The 14,956-nt window shown below is 43.0% G+C and overlaps 2 protein-coding genes across 3 annotated transcripts in view; both read left to right on the top strand.

Moving 5' to 3' along the window:
- The first annotated feature begins 3,648 nt into the window (after positions 1–3,648).
- LOC124905050 (uncharacterized) lies at positions 3,649–8,988 on the top strand. Its single transcript, XM_047441063.1, has 3 exons — positions 3,649–3,724; positions 7,674–8,200; positions 8,560–8,988. The coding sequence occupies exons 1-3, from the start codon at positions 3,649–3,651 to the stop codon at positions 8,986–8,988; spliced, it is 1,032 nt and encodes a 343-aa protein (XP_047297019.1).
- Positions 8,556–14,956, top strand: part of ADAMTS5 (ADAM metallopeptidase with thrombospondin type 1 motif 5) — a 49,167-nt gene continuing 42,766 nt past the window's right edge. For both annotated transcript variants that reach the window (XM_047440680.1, NM_007038.5), the window contains exon 1: positions 8,556–10,356. In XM_047440680.1, coding sequence (XP_047296636.1) covers positions 9,253–10,356 — 1,104 coding nt within the window. In that variant the 5' untranslated portion in view covers positions 8,556–9,252. The remainder of the gene's footprint in view (positions 10,357–14,956) is intronic.

The following is a 14,956-nucleotide window of genomic DNA, read 5'->3' as shown; positions in this document are numbered from 1 at the left end:
CAGAGGTAATCTCTGAGGCAAAATTTAAGTGAAAATGAAAGAGTTAAAACAAAACCCTTAACTGCTATAGTGGGTAATTTAAAATAACAATAATACATTTATTATTTATTTGCCATGTACTAGGTATTGCACACCAATTCAAATTCTTAACCTTGCTAACCTTCATAAAAACCCAATGAGGCATGTGTTATAATTGTCACTCTTTTGCAGATGAGGAAAAAAGTACACAAAGTATCTAAATAACTTCCCCAGGATCCCATACAGTGCCTAGGCTAGGACATAAAGTCAGGCCTTTTGGCTGCTTGTTTTGGCAGGGTGTGCTCGACCATAAAGAAAGTTAGCACACGGGGAGTGTTCTCCTTCCATGCCTTGTCGTTTGGTAGAAGAATTTTGTTATGATGTTCAGCTAGGCAGTTAGTTCTAACTGTTTAAGAGCCACGATGATTGGTATTTTTCTATACTGCAAGGTCACGCAGTGAGATGAGGAAGGCTAGCCAAACATTTCTTCAGAATAAACACTGGAGGAAGGTTAATGTCCTTACATTCCAGGATTTTACAGATAATTACGGTATTTAGTAAGACTAGGCAAGCTTAGAATAATAGAATTACAATGGAAGTCTTGGTTTTGATTAATTACGAATGTAAACATTTTATATTTAGTATACCCACCCAGATAAAAGGCACTGACAATTTTTACATAGACCAGCAGGTAAGTGACATTCATAGGTAAGTGACAGAACAGAAAAACAGGAACTACAATAATAGAATAAATGTTGCACACTTATTAGTTACCTGAGACTACAACTTTTAGGAATAATGTAAGAGATAAGCTTGTTAGTTAACATCGATCGCACCAATAACTATACACAGTTTTAACTCAATGTCTTAATATTAAGTATTCATTCTTATGCTCGTTGATACCAAAAATACTTAGATTATCTAATATATATGCAAAGGACTGAGCTAGGGGCTAGACATAACATGGCCAGGACAAAGTAGTATGTTAACCAGGTTATTTCTGTTTTAGGTGACAAAATCCCTGATTACACTTACTTAAACAAAAGTAAGAATTTTATTAACATTATTGGATTCGAGGATTGTGATGATTTATCTCCCCTTTTTCTCTCCTCTCTTTTTTACTTCCTCCTGCCTTCTCCCTTTCTCATCTCTGTTCAACTTCATTCTTAGACTTTTCCCATTTGGTGGGATCTGTGAGATAAAATGGCAATCAGCAGAGACTGGCTAGATGTTTCCCCCTCTTTCTTCTTCTTGGCTCACTACTGGTTTGTAGTTTTCAGCTTCCCACTACCATCTTTACATCTGGGTGGGGCCATAGGGCTATTACTGCCATATGGACTATATTTCTGCCAATGGACCAGAAGTATGCTACTTCTAGGAAGAGGCAAGCAAGGGAGACTGTGCCTTCTCTACTATCTCTCTCTCTTTCTTCTCTTTCTGCATCAGCCTTGGAGGCAGTTGAGGGGAAAGACTACAGGATAGAGCAAGCTTGAGCTCCTACTGCATGGATCACTACTGTGCTGGCCATCAACCCACAGGGGACAGTGACAGGAGCAAAGAATACACTTTATGTGAAACCACTGAGAATTTAAAGGTATTTGTTACAGCAGTTCAACTTTCCTTCTTAATACATGATCCTTAGATTGTCTGATCCCAGAGGAAAAGTGCTTTCAGCTAATGGTTTGAGCAAATGTCCAGTGGGCAGAGTTCTTCCCAGAACCATCAGCTCTGGCCAGATGTATGGGGCACTCTGACTTGTCAGGCTCGGTATCCAGTATCCAGATCTGAAGGAAAGCCATCAGCTTTATTCAAACATGTGGATTGACTTTCCTTGGAAAGGTGTGTTTTTATTACCAGAGACAAGGATGGTAAAGAAGAGCAACAGGAAAATATCAGTAACCACCCACATACATAATTTTAAAAATAGTTAACATATGTGTTTTGCATATTTTACATGTGTCCATGTATGCCTCCAATTTGCTAGTTACTGAATTAGAAACTGGAGATACCGTGGTGAGGAAGACAAGCATGGTCCCTGGTTTCATAGAACATACATTCTATGGTGAAGACAGAAAGAAAAAGAGAAAGAAAAGAAAAGAATGTGGAAAGAAGAAAGAGACGTTAGCCAAAAATAATTCTGAGACATTATTATCCTTAGCATGCAAAAAGTTTACTCATGTAGGAGGGACCCAACCATCAGACTACTGCCAACAATCAAAAGCAAAAATGAAACTTATGATAGAAAAGAGGGGAAAAAAATCTCATAATCTCAAGACACTGTTTTGCATTTTCTGGAAGGTAAACTGGTTGGCTGGAAGCTAGCAGAGACTCTAATCAGGTTACTTTGCTCTTTAATGCTCTGAAAACCAGCAATTTGTTAAAGTTATTTATGGATTCTCCGGAACGTCTCTGGAATTTAGCTATACAACATATGTAAGAGGCTTTCTCTGTGTCATACTGGCTAGTTTCCCTATGTTAATACCTCTACCTTTCTTAGATTCAATCTGCACCATTTTCCTCATCTGAATTTCCTAAAGAAAGGAAGACACCTACTAAGCTAATAGATGAATGAAATAATTGCCTATTTGATTAAGGCTTATCAGAAATAAGTGTGAGTTTGAGGTGCAAAAAAACAAGCCAGGGATTATATAGTTAATTATAAATTTAGTAATTTATAGCCAGCTGTCGATAATGAACTCTATAATGTCAAAAATCAGAATAACTTTTTCAGTTGCAATTCAAAAGTCACCTGAAACATTTGGAACCAAAATGACATGGGCCATGGAGGGTCTGATAAACTTTCTGGGCAGATCTGGTGGGGATTTATCTGAGAAGATGATTTTGAACAAGGGCTCGAGTCTCACAAATGAGGGCACCACAACTGAATCCTTTCCTCTCCACCCCTATTCTGAAAAGATTCTGATGCTCCACCTCCTTGAAGGATGGGGGAGTCTTGTTTTGTCACTAACATAAACCGGACAGGGTATAGATGGATTGGAAGAGGGTCCTGAAATGAGAAAAAGAGAGGAGCAAAAGTGGTAGTCTGGCTCTTGGAAAGAACCACACTAGAAGCTATGGGCAAGAGTTAGTTCCCTGAATTGTAAATCAGTCAAAGCCCACTTCCTCTTCTCCTGCTGCCTCAAGCTCACATGCTCATATTTTCAAAGGTCAGAGGTGGCAATCTTTTTGGGATCCTGGGGCATTTGGGACCCTGGGGCATAGTGGTGAAGGAGAAGTTTCCGACAGGTCCAGGTTGGGCCAGCTGGAAGGAGAAAAGGGGGAGAGTTGATGGTGAGTTCCTGGAAGAGGGTTCCTTCCTGGGACTTAGAATCAAATCATCATTCAGCCAGTAAGTGACAGTGCATTGTCACTTCCTCTTTCCAGCTTGATTTAAAAGAGTAAGAAGCAGAGACGTAGGAAGAGCAACACCTCCTAAGTCAAATAAAGTGAGAAAAACCTGTAATGTATTTACTTGAACCCAGGTCTAGGAGTGTAACACAGATAACTGCTCTTCCACCTGTTAGTCCCTGACTAGGAAAGGTGTGTATGAGAGAGGTATGTAATAGTGTATGGAGAGTCTGAAAAAAGAAACTGTATGTTTTCTTCCACTGACCACATAAGCAACTTGCAATGACCCCAACATCATGGGTAGGAGATAATTACATTGATCAAGAAGCTACAGTTTCCATTTCCCTACTTGCCAGGGGTGAGACTGTAACCAACTGATATTTATCAGCTTTATGTGAACTTACTTCCAGTTCTTACCTTATTTACCAGAAGAATGTATTTAACATGGAGAGACCAAATAGTTTTGAGGAAGACTATAATATTTTAGAGCTTGAGAAAGGTGATGTTAAGATACAATCTTAACTGTAAAAATATATATACATAATTATAGAACCGAGAAACAACTCCTACTACAATTACAGCTACTACTCATTAAGTAATTTGAAAACTTTGCTTGAAATTTGCCATTATGAAGGAAGGGAAAGAAAACCTCAAATGTTTCAAATTACTTTCTGCTGGAAATTCCTGATTTTCCATGTGTTTCTAGTAAGGTTTGATTTTTGATGATTTTTGGAAAATAAGGAAAAATAGAACTCAAGTAACTCATAAAAGCAAGTAATATGTGCATAATTGTGTGAGAAAAGCTAAAACAACATTTCACAGCTGGTCAGCATAAAAAATGACTTGTCGGTTTTACTTTACAGATAACACCTGTATGTCTTAAATAATACATATGTACATTATTCATTTGAAGACTTCTATATAGTATAAAATTACTGTGTATAAAAAATGAAAATCTGGCTTTCTAGAAATATATTTTCTATAATATTAAGTAAAACAGATTCTAAAGCATATGTTATCCATCACAATAGATAGATTGTTTTGTAATATGTCCTAATCAGATAGCAGAGAAGATGGTTTCGAGTTTTATCAGGCATTCAGTAAGGTTTCCCGAGGGGCAAAATAAAAGAATCTCTACAATGCAGGTCTCTAGAAAGTTTTCTTCGTAAAGGCAGAGGATGGTTGGTTTAATCCCCTCTTCTATTATCTGAGCTCTAATTAGGATTTCTATCAAGCCATCAGTGCAGCCTAGAGGGAAACATGAGTTCAAGTGAGTACGTGTGTGGCACATGCATGCTGACATGTGCTGTGTGTACTAATGCATATGAGATTGGGTACACATGCATTAGTGCATCAGGGTCCATGTTCTGCCATTGTAAATATCAGAGGGGATGGACGGGGGGAAAAAGAGCTGGGGAAGGAGGGAAGAAGGACTATTTAAGTGTAGTTTCACCCTCTAAAAATGAAGAGTTCATATCAAAGCTAGAATCACTCCCAAAGTGTGACCTTTGGTTTTGAAGCAAAGCCCTCTAAAAACGAGAATTTGCAAAGCGAGTGTCACAAAAGGGAAAAGCTCACCCAGTGTCTTTAAGGCATTCATTCATGGTCCCACGCAGTAGTGGAGCTTAGTAGTGGAGATCTTACCCATAGAATCCACACACCCTGCTACCACCAAGGGTGCCGATACTAAAAGGGTTTCCAATTCAGCAGGCCTAGGGTAGGGATCTTGATGTGGGAAAGAAAAACGCAGAGTTGAAAGACTGTAATTCTTCTACATGGGAGGTAAGGAGCAGGTGTTTGGCCGGAAGGGAATATTTTACTGTCAGATATTTCCTCACTCTTACCATTAAAATCATAGTTTGGGGTGGGGGGTAGGAAATGACACTTTAGCAAATGGAAATTTGAGAAAATGCTACTTAAAAGAGTATACAAATTATGGAGTGGAGCTATATTGGAAATACAGGGCTCAGAGCACCTGCAGGAGTAATTCTCTTGCTTTCTCCCCCTCTATATTTGTATTTTCCAGTTTGTATTCTGTGCATCTATTATACAAACGGCTCCATCTCTAAACTGTGAGTTTCCTCCAGACATTACTCATGACTTGTTCATCTTCTCATGCCTCCAGAGAGCCTCATAAAGCACTTTGCAGTAGGACCTTGATAGATATTTGTTAAACTGGATACATTGTAAGAAGTGTTGTAGAATGAGCCCAAATTAGGAGCTGGGAGATTTAGGTTTCAGGACATTCGGCCACTAGTGGACTTTTTTATCCACAGGCAAGCCATTTTGGCCTCTGGGTCTCAGCTTTTCACAGTTAGATGGAGAAAGTTGCCCTACCTGATCTCCAAGATAAATTATAACATTCTGGAGTAGTAAGTCCTTCTTCCTTTTAGGAAATGTAAAATCATCTATCATGGTATTTGTGATCATATACTCTATAAATTCAGTGGAAATTTCTCATTAAATGTGCACAAATAAAACTGTTACTTTGAATGAGTAGCAGTTATTCTGCTTAAACATGATTGCTAATATATTTTTCCTTTCTACTGTAAAAATAAAAAGTTCAGCTACTTTTATCCAGTGCAAATTACTTCCTTAGAGTGACAGATAGTAATTTTTTCCACAACGTAGCAGCTCATCCTAATCCACTAGTGTAATGTTTTAAAAATACTACCAAATGAAGTTTCCAAAGTGTCCAAGTTACTTTCTAAAAAAAAAATTATATCGAAGTAGAAATTTTCTGAGATGTAAGAATTTATTCATTGTATTCATAAGATTTAGTATTTATTTCCTTGTGAATATATACCTCTAGTAAATATTCTGTGCTTGATATTCATGTTTGGAACTTTATCTGTGTCTATCCTGTTCTCCCCATGTATTTTTAAATATTTGAATAAACTGAGTACAAATGTCACTATATAATTAAACTTAAAGGCATAATATTCAGATTCAGGATTCAGCACGGTGTTTGTGAAAGAGGAGAAAAGCTTCATTAAGAAGAAAATTCAAGCCGTCACTGTGTCTCATCAGGTGGGAGAATCCCTGGAGGTTATGAGTTCAAGACCATCAAAGAAAAGAGAATCTGTTGGAATTTCCTGAAATCCTAAATAACAAAATCTATCTGTGAATGAAAATAATTGTAATTAACAAATTTTAACCACTGTCACCTAAAATGCCTATTAAAATGATTCTTTGGCATGAACAATGACAAAATTGTTAAATTTATTGAATCAAGGTTGTATTAGAAATGGTGTTTAGTGCCAAATATTGGACTCCTTTTCACTGTAACTGGTTAAAAAGATAAAAGTTTGCTATTTGTAGGTGCAAAGCAAGGACCACAAAAGAGAACGGCTAATGCAAGGCTCAAAGGCCTTGGTGGGATAGAGAAAATGGCTGGAACCTCCTATTCTGACCCATCCAGCTGTTAGCATTGGCCTGGGTCAACTGGCCACTGAGAGGCTGAGGCATTGTGGAATTATAAAGCAATGGCCTTCAGCAATAGTAACTTCCTCCCTGGTCCTGATGTATTTCAGAATCTATCAGGGGCTGTTGGGTGTCCCTAAGGCCCCAGTGATTTCTTTATTTATAAGTTAAAACAAGATGATACATCTGCCCCTCACAAGACTCCAGAGGGTGTTCCCAGGCACACGGCAATGGGTATTGTTGCCGGGCAATTCTGAAATTCCTTCCAGAGGATTATTGCCACTCTAAGAACCTCCATCAAGCTCTGGACCCTCATGGTTCCCTCCCAGAGAAAGCGATCAGCTTGGGGCCCCATTAAGGCACCCGCCCTGCTATCCCCAGCGTAGCCAAAGTTAAACGTAGAAAAAGATGGAAATGTACAAATTACACCACATTCATTTTTCACTGGTGCATTAGTTAATTAGCCTGAAGAATAATTTGGGCATGGAGGGAGCTCTTACCCCTACAGTAGAAGGTAGACCTTCTAACCATAAGTCGTCGGGTTTTCCTTCTCCCTTCTTAGAATGATAATTAGAGGAAACAAAGAGGTCAGAGGAAACGAGTAGCAGTGATAATGTCACCCGCGTACTAATAAGCACCAATCTTCCTTCCGCCAAAAGTATTCTTTTTCTTCTAAAAGGAATTTCTGAGAATGAAGGTAGGTCAAGGCCTATGGCGATAAGTGGTTGCTTTAGAAGAGACAAAAACAGATATAGGAATTTATTATTAAAGTATCATTTAAGCAAAAAATAAAAGTATGAGCGCAAAATTTTAAAATCTTTCAGGGAAAAAAAATGAGCGGAATTCCCTCTAAGAGTTAACTCTTTCTCGCTCTGCCTTTTTAGAGCAAAGGAAGTTCCAGTGGGCTGGGAGTAAGGGACAGATTGTGGACCCTGACGAAAGGCGTGCTGGAGAAAGCTGGGAGCCCGCCGTTCGCACACAAAGCTGCGGAGTTCCCAAGCGGCGGGCGTTCTCGCCCCGGGGTACCGCAGCGCGCCAGGAAGCGCCCTGGGCTCTCTGGCTGTCCAGCCGCTCTGCTGGTGGCCGGGAGAAGTTAGTCACCCGGAGCCCGAATCCGGCGAGCGTCAAAGCATCAAGAGGCTGGAGAATGGGGAGGGAGGAAACCGGGTGCCGGGACGGAGGGGAGGAAGCGAAGGGAACGCGGTGGTTAGGGGACGCACGGGAAGCTGAAAAGCTCTGGCTGGTGGATGGAGTTGCACGGTCTGCGAGGCCAGAGCGCACGGGTGTGCAAAGGGGAAAAACTTGCGGCAGGAACTTCCCACCGAGGGCGAGAAAAGCAGGCAAGAAGGAGGCAGGGAGAGACTTGAAACGTCTCAATAACTTTAACCAAAACACCCGTTCAGGAGATGAGGTAAGCCAAGGTTAGCCAACCCCAATTGGTTGTGAAATATCAGACAGACCCGGAGCCGCTGTGGCTTTAAAAGTGGCCAAGGAAATCTGTTTTTCTTGCCCCATTACTTTTTATTTTCCCCTCTCCCCTCCTACCACCTCGCCGGGTCCCAGTCCCTTCCTCCTACTTCGTCTCCCTTTCCTCGATCACCCTCCTCTTTTGCCCTCCCCCATCTGATTAGGCGCGGACTGGGAAGGGTGGGAGTGGTGGGGGAAGCTCTCCCTTTAAGAGGCAGCGTGCAGTGACGAACTGTTGAAATTGCCATTGCAGGATGGCATGCCGCTATAAATTCATTGTTCCACCTCCTCGCATCTTCACAGCGCTCGCGCTGCTCTCGGCGCTCGCAGCTGCCGACTGGGGATGACGGCGGGCAGGAGGAGACCGCAGCCGAAGGGACACAGACACGCCGCTTCACCAGCTCGCCTCAGGCTGCCCCCCTGCATTTTTGTTTTAATTTTTACGGCTTTTTCCCCTCTCTTTCTTCCCTTCCTCCTGGTCCCAGCAGAGCCAAGGAAACCCACAAAATAAGAAAGGAAGTGGGCCCCGGAGCTTGGAACCTCCACAGCCGGCTTGTCCAGCGCAGCGCGGGGGCGGGAGGCTGCGCGCACCAGTTGCCAGCCCGGTGCGCGGTACCTTTCCTTACTTTTCTTGAAACAGCGATCGTGCCTGCATTTGGTGGTTTTTTGGTTTTTGTTTTTTTCCTTTTCCCGTATTTGCTGAATCTCCACTATCCGACTTTTTTTTTTTAATCTTTTCTTTCCCCCCCCCCCCACCCCACCTCTTTCTGGAGCACGAATCCAAACATTTTCCCAAGCAACAAAGAAAAGTTCGCACGCTGGCACCGCAGCCCGGACAGGCTGGCGCTGCTGCCGGGCCCCCCTCCCTCCGACACTTGACTCAATCCTGCAAGCAAGTGTGTGTGTGTCCCCATCCCCCGCCCCGTTAACTTCATAGCAAATAACAAATACCCATAAAGTCCCAGTCGCGCAGCCCCTCCCCGCGGGCAGCGCACTATGCTGCTCGGGTGGGCGTCCCTGCTGCTGTGCGCGTTCCGCCTGCCCCTGGCCGCGGTCGGCCCCGCCGCGACACCTGCCCAGGATAAAGCCGGGCAGCCTCCGACTGCTGCAGCAGCCGCCCAGCCCCGCCGGCGGCAGGGGGAGGAGGTGCAGGAGCGAGCCGAGCCTCCCGGCCACCCGCACCCCCTGGCGCAGCGGCGCAGGAGCAAGGGGCTGGTGCAGAACATCGACCAACTCTACTCCGGCGGCGGCAAGGTGGGCTACCTCGTCTACGCGGGCGGCCGGAGGTTCCTCTTGGACCTGGAGCGAGATGGTTCGGTGGGCATTGCTGGCTTCGTGCCCGCAGGAGGCGGGACGAGTGCGCCCTGGCGCCACCGGAGCCACTGCTTCTATCGGGGCACAGTGGACGGTAGTCCCCGCTCTCTGGCTGTCTTTGACCTCTGTGGGGGTCTCGACGGCTTCTTCGCGGTCAAGCACGCGCGCTACACCCTAAAGCCACTGCTGCGCGGACCCTGGGCGGAGGAAGAAAAGGGGCGCGTGTACGGGGATGGGTCCGCACGGATCCTGCACGTCTACACCCGCGAGGGCTTCAGCTTCGAGGCCCTGCCGCCGCGCGCCAGCTGCGAAACCCCCGCGTCCACACCGGAGGCCCACGAGCATGCTCCGGCGCACAGCAACCCGAGCGGACGCGCAGCACTGGCCTCGCAGCTCTTGGACCAGTCCGCTCTCTCGCCCGCTGGGGGCTCAGGACCGCAGACGTGGTGGCGGCGGCGGCGCCGCTCCATCTCCCGGGCCCGCCAGGTGGAGCTGCTTCTGGTGGCTGACGCGTCCATGGCGCGGTTGTATGGCCGGGGCCTGCAGCATTACCTGCTGACCCTGGCCTCCATCGCCAATAGGCTGTACAGCCATGCTAGCATCGAGAACCACATCCGCCTGGCCGTGGTGAAGGTGGTGGTGCTAGGCGACAAGGACAAGAGCCTGGAAGTGAGCAAGAACGCTGCCACCACACTCAAGAACTTTTGCAAGTGGCAGCACCAACACAACCAGCTGGGAGATGACCATGAGGAGCACTACGATGCAGCTATCCTGTTTACTCGGGAGGTAGGTCCAGCCGGGATGCGGGGGTCCCAGCGCTGATATCAGGAGGTAGGTAGAAGGGAATCTTGCTGGTGGCTTTGCTTCTCCCTCAAACCTCCTGCAGCTGTGGATGTGTTTAACTGCTTCTTGCAGGAAATCCAACCAGCCTTCAACTCTGCTCCTGTATTCACGTTAGCCCCGCAGAAATTTTTGCCTTAAATGCCAAGACTTGCTTAGGTGATGATGAAGACCCAGTAGTGCTGCATGTCATCTAGTCTGAGGTGTTGTGGCATAGGAACGTAAACATAAGAAGGCACAAGGATGCTTGGGGAAATGATACAGTTAAATGGGGAAAAGGAAGGAAAACAAAGTTGCCTTTGGGATCATGGGTCTTCTTCTTTCCAGTGAAAATAAAATATAACCTTGTCCCACCTAATGGAAAGGGCTGGATGGTTCACTCACGGTACTCACTGTTATCCGATGACCTTCTTTTGTAAGTGTCCACACCTTTTTACTAGAATCCCTTCTGTTACACAGAGGATGAGAAAACTTTCTCAAGGACTCTTTTTCCAGGTTGGATTCCTAATGGAGTTCTTACATGTCCACCTTGGAATCTCAGTTCCTGGGAAGGAAGGAATGTGGGCGGGCCAGCAGGGTACAGAGACCCAATCAGATGAGAGGACAAACTTGTGAGGTTCCTTAACAACTCCTTTGCTTAGTCGACCAGTGCGTCGCAAGCACTGCCCAGGCCAACTCCGCCGCCTAGGGAGGGTCACATCCCGTTTGCGTGTTTGGGTTTTGGATGAATATGTTTCCGAAGCCCCAGTGCAGAAGATCTGGGCGAAGAGTCAAGACAGAAGGAAGAAATGTTTTCCCAGCATTTCCCCCTTTTAAGAAAGATGGTTATGGGGAAGCAAAGAAATGGATCTTTAAGGCTCAGAGGCTCAGGGAGGAACGCAGTATCTATTTACACAGTATTTGACCACTACGTTAGTGTGACATTTACACAAAAAGTCTGGGTTGGTTTGGGGCCTGGCTTGCGCATAGTTCTAAGCCTCAGTTGTCACAACTCGACTCTGATTGGCAGTTTTAAGTTGTGCCTCTTAAATGCCTGGTAAGAATTGACTTCTAAAGCTCATTCTTTAAGTATTTGAGACCCATCCAGAATAGATTAAGGATTACAAACTTTGAAGTATTATGTAAAATCATGGTATGAAATGAAGCAAACAGAACAAGGATAGGAAATTAAATGATGGATTGCAGACTTTAGAATCACACAGCTTCGCTACCTAATTCTTCTATTTTTACTAAGGCACCCCTGGTATGAAGGAAAAGTGTTGATAAATTTGGAGTAGAGAAACACTTGTGGTTCATAGGGTGGACATTAATGTAAACCACATGTAAACAAAGATGCTGGAGGGCGGCAGTTTAGGGAGAGCCAAGCAGCGCGCAGTGCTGTGCACAATGGAAAACATTTTTTTCCTCATTAAGTGATTTTCTGGAAGCCATCCTTTAATTCCTCTGCACAACATTAGTCTTTGAAGCGGTAGAACATTCATTTGTAGCCTTCTCTGCAAAATGAAGTTCTGTAAAACTATCCATTTCTTGTTAGGTTTCCAAGCTCTTTTTTTTTTTTTTTTTTTTTTTTTTTTTTTTTTTTTTTTTTTTTTGGTAAGCAACTTTCCGTGTCTGGGGTTCCTTGCTCTGCTACATCACAAGAGGATGCCAAGAAGGAGGCTTTGGAGAGTTTATGGAAGGAGGTTCTCTAAAGGAAGAGGAAGAAATACTTTTGTAAGCATACTGCGCCAAGGAGTGGGTCATTTTAGTAGTTCACTTTCATTTTTAAACACAAATCCACATTTCATAATTTTAAAATAAATAAAAATTAATAGAAGGTCTGTTACTTCCTACCTCCTGCCCCATAACATTCCTAATTGTTTCCCAGAAAACAGGAAACTACTCAGTGATTCTCAATGATTTGTCGATTACTTTTTCCGAATTTGTTTTTTGTTTGGATAGTTAACTGTCCCTATTTTTCCAAAGTCTGAAACTTAACAGCATATTTTAAATAGATACAAAGCAAGGGACAAATAAATTAATGGTCCATCTTAATTTTTGTCAGTATTATAAGGACATGCATTTTTCAAACTAGTCTACACATGGAAAATATTTCACATGGGCCCTCTCTGGTCTCCTTGCCAAGCAGAAGCATACTTTTAGGAAAACAAATTTCATTTGTGGTTGGCCCTGTAGTATACACATCTAACTTCACAAGAAGCAAATATTTGAAATGCATGTGTATTTTCAATAGATGCGCCCAATTTAAAAGAGTGTTACTAATTAGGGGGTTGAAAAAAATTTCAAGGCATTTATGCAGCATTCATTTGAGAGTATTTCACAATGCAAAGTGAACTTTGCCTAATACTTCAGAGCATGAAAAAAAAAAAGAAGTCTGGAGGAGAGATGATCTGAGGTCTTCCATCTCATGAAAATCAGATTATCTTAAGGCCCAAAGAAAAGCTTTCAGAGCTATTTCCTTTTCAATGAGAAATACCCAGAGTTGGCACCAAGATTCTACTTTTACAACTCTGTTTTGAATGTAAGAAGTGCGTTGCTTAGCAGCCAGACGCCAAGCTATGAAATCCATGTTTTGATGGGCTCTGAGTCCTGCTCAAATTTAGGTCCAGATGTCTTCTCCTAAATTGCTTGTTTTTTAGGCATGAAGCGAATGTACGAGGATATGTTTTCTACCTCTGTTTACTAGCTGAGGCCACCTTGAAAGTTGCATCTGGAAGTCAGCAGAATAGAGCTAGTAACTCATTTATCAAACGATCACACTTCACTGTCAGGACTGTACCCAGCACTCCAGTACTATTCTAATTAGAGAGAGTTAGCACCAGTCAATTTCCTGGCATAAAAGCTGTTTTCATTCTGAAATGGCACTAATGCTGGAATTCACACCACTTCTGCCATCAAACAGTAGAAATCCAATCTCCCCAGGATTTAGCTTTGCTTTCCAGAATCCTTTCCTTGTTCTGGACGTCCTCTTTTATTTCAAGATAATTTCTTCAAAGACAAACTCTTACAGTCGTTTTTTTTTAGACCATTTGCTCTTTAGAAACAAAAGCCTACCTGCTTGATAACAAAATAGGAAATTGTTTAATATCCCTCCACCCCTTCATGAAAGCAGCAAAAACCTTACTCTTTCATAGATTGAAACACTGAATTAAAATCGAACCAACTAAGAGATTGTGCAATATAAAAAGATAATTCCCTTTCATTAACTATCAATATGCCAGTTGATAGATCACTGTCTCAGCTAAAACTCTGTACATTCTGCCTTAGATTGCTGGGACCGGGTCTCCCCACACGGCATTTCTCCTTTACCACGTGGCTCCTGGCTTGATTCTGACAACAGGGGGCAGTAGAGGAAGACCAGAAGTTTGGAAGAGGGAGAGGGATGGGCTTTTTCTTATTGGCTTGCTGCCTGGACTAATTCAGTCACATATTTGAGCTGAAATCTCATTTAAAGTCAAAAGTGAACCCTTGTCAAGGAATCAGAGCCTATAGGTCAATCCTAATCAATAAAAGGATAAATAACTCAGAAGTGGGGAGACTGGTAGCAGACTAAGCAGCTCTAATTAACATTTTTACAATAAACTGTGAGGGATATTATGAAAAATCTAAAATCTGTGCAGTATCTGCCTACATGCACCTCCTATGTGTGAGACTCATGTAGGCAGTTTAAGGCAGCGAGGTAGAAATACCTGCTCCCTGCCCACTAGGCGTATCCCCAGCAGAGTGGAAACAGATACACGTGGAAATCACACTACTGTTAGGAAAACTCTGATAAATCCCATACTGAGATATAAACAAAGTCTGTGAAAGGAAAAGGAAGGTAACAGTTAATTCTGCCTATGGACCTTTCTGTAGGTCTCATTGCAAATGTAGAATTGAATTGGTCCTCAAAGGATGGATAGATTGGATTTAGATTCAGCCAGCTGCTATTGAGCATTTCTTATGTACTATCCATGGCCACAAACTATTTTACAATTAATCATTTCAACAATCTGTAACCATTGTGTAATTATCTTGACAGAATTCATGTGAAGAGAAACAAAGATAAACTTCTTAGACTAACAGCTAACAAATGGCAGACAGAGAAGACAGTCCTGTCTAGTGCTCTCTAAACTAAAAGCATTATCACTAATTTATTCAAACCTTTAATATGCTCCTCGTAGGCAAGGAGGGATTCAGAGATTTAAAAAGTAGCCCCTTTCTTAAGAATCTATTCCTGGAAACAGACAGGGAAATGGTCATTGCTGCACAGCATGATGGCTCTTACAGTAGATGTATTTGTAAGGTATTATGGAAGTGCATTAGAAGATTGCTCACTCCATCTGAGTTCAATTTTGAAGAAAGAGTGGGAGTTAGCCAGATACGTAAGGAGGAGATAGGCATTGCAGACATCAGCAAACCATCATGTTCAATGGGAAATGGTAATAGATTAGTTTGGAGAAGATAATAACAACCCAACTATGGAAAAACAAAACTATACACTATGTCTGCTAGTCTGCTCAGGCCACCGTAACAGAATATTGTACAATGGGTGGATTTAACCACC

This window comes from Homo sapiens, chromosome 21, assembly GCF_000001405.40.
Source record: "Homo sapiens chromosome 21, GRCh38.p14 Primary Assembly".
In the NCBI taxonomy this organism is placed as follows: domain Eukaryota; kingdom Metazoa; phylum Chordata; class Mammalia; order Primates; family Hominidae; genus Homo; species Homo sapiens.
The sequence above is the reverse complement of the archived record's forward strand: the minus strand, read 5'-3'. Positions and strand labels throughout refer to the sequence as shown.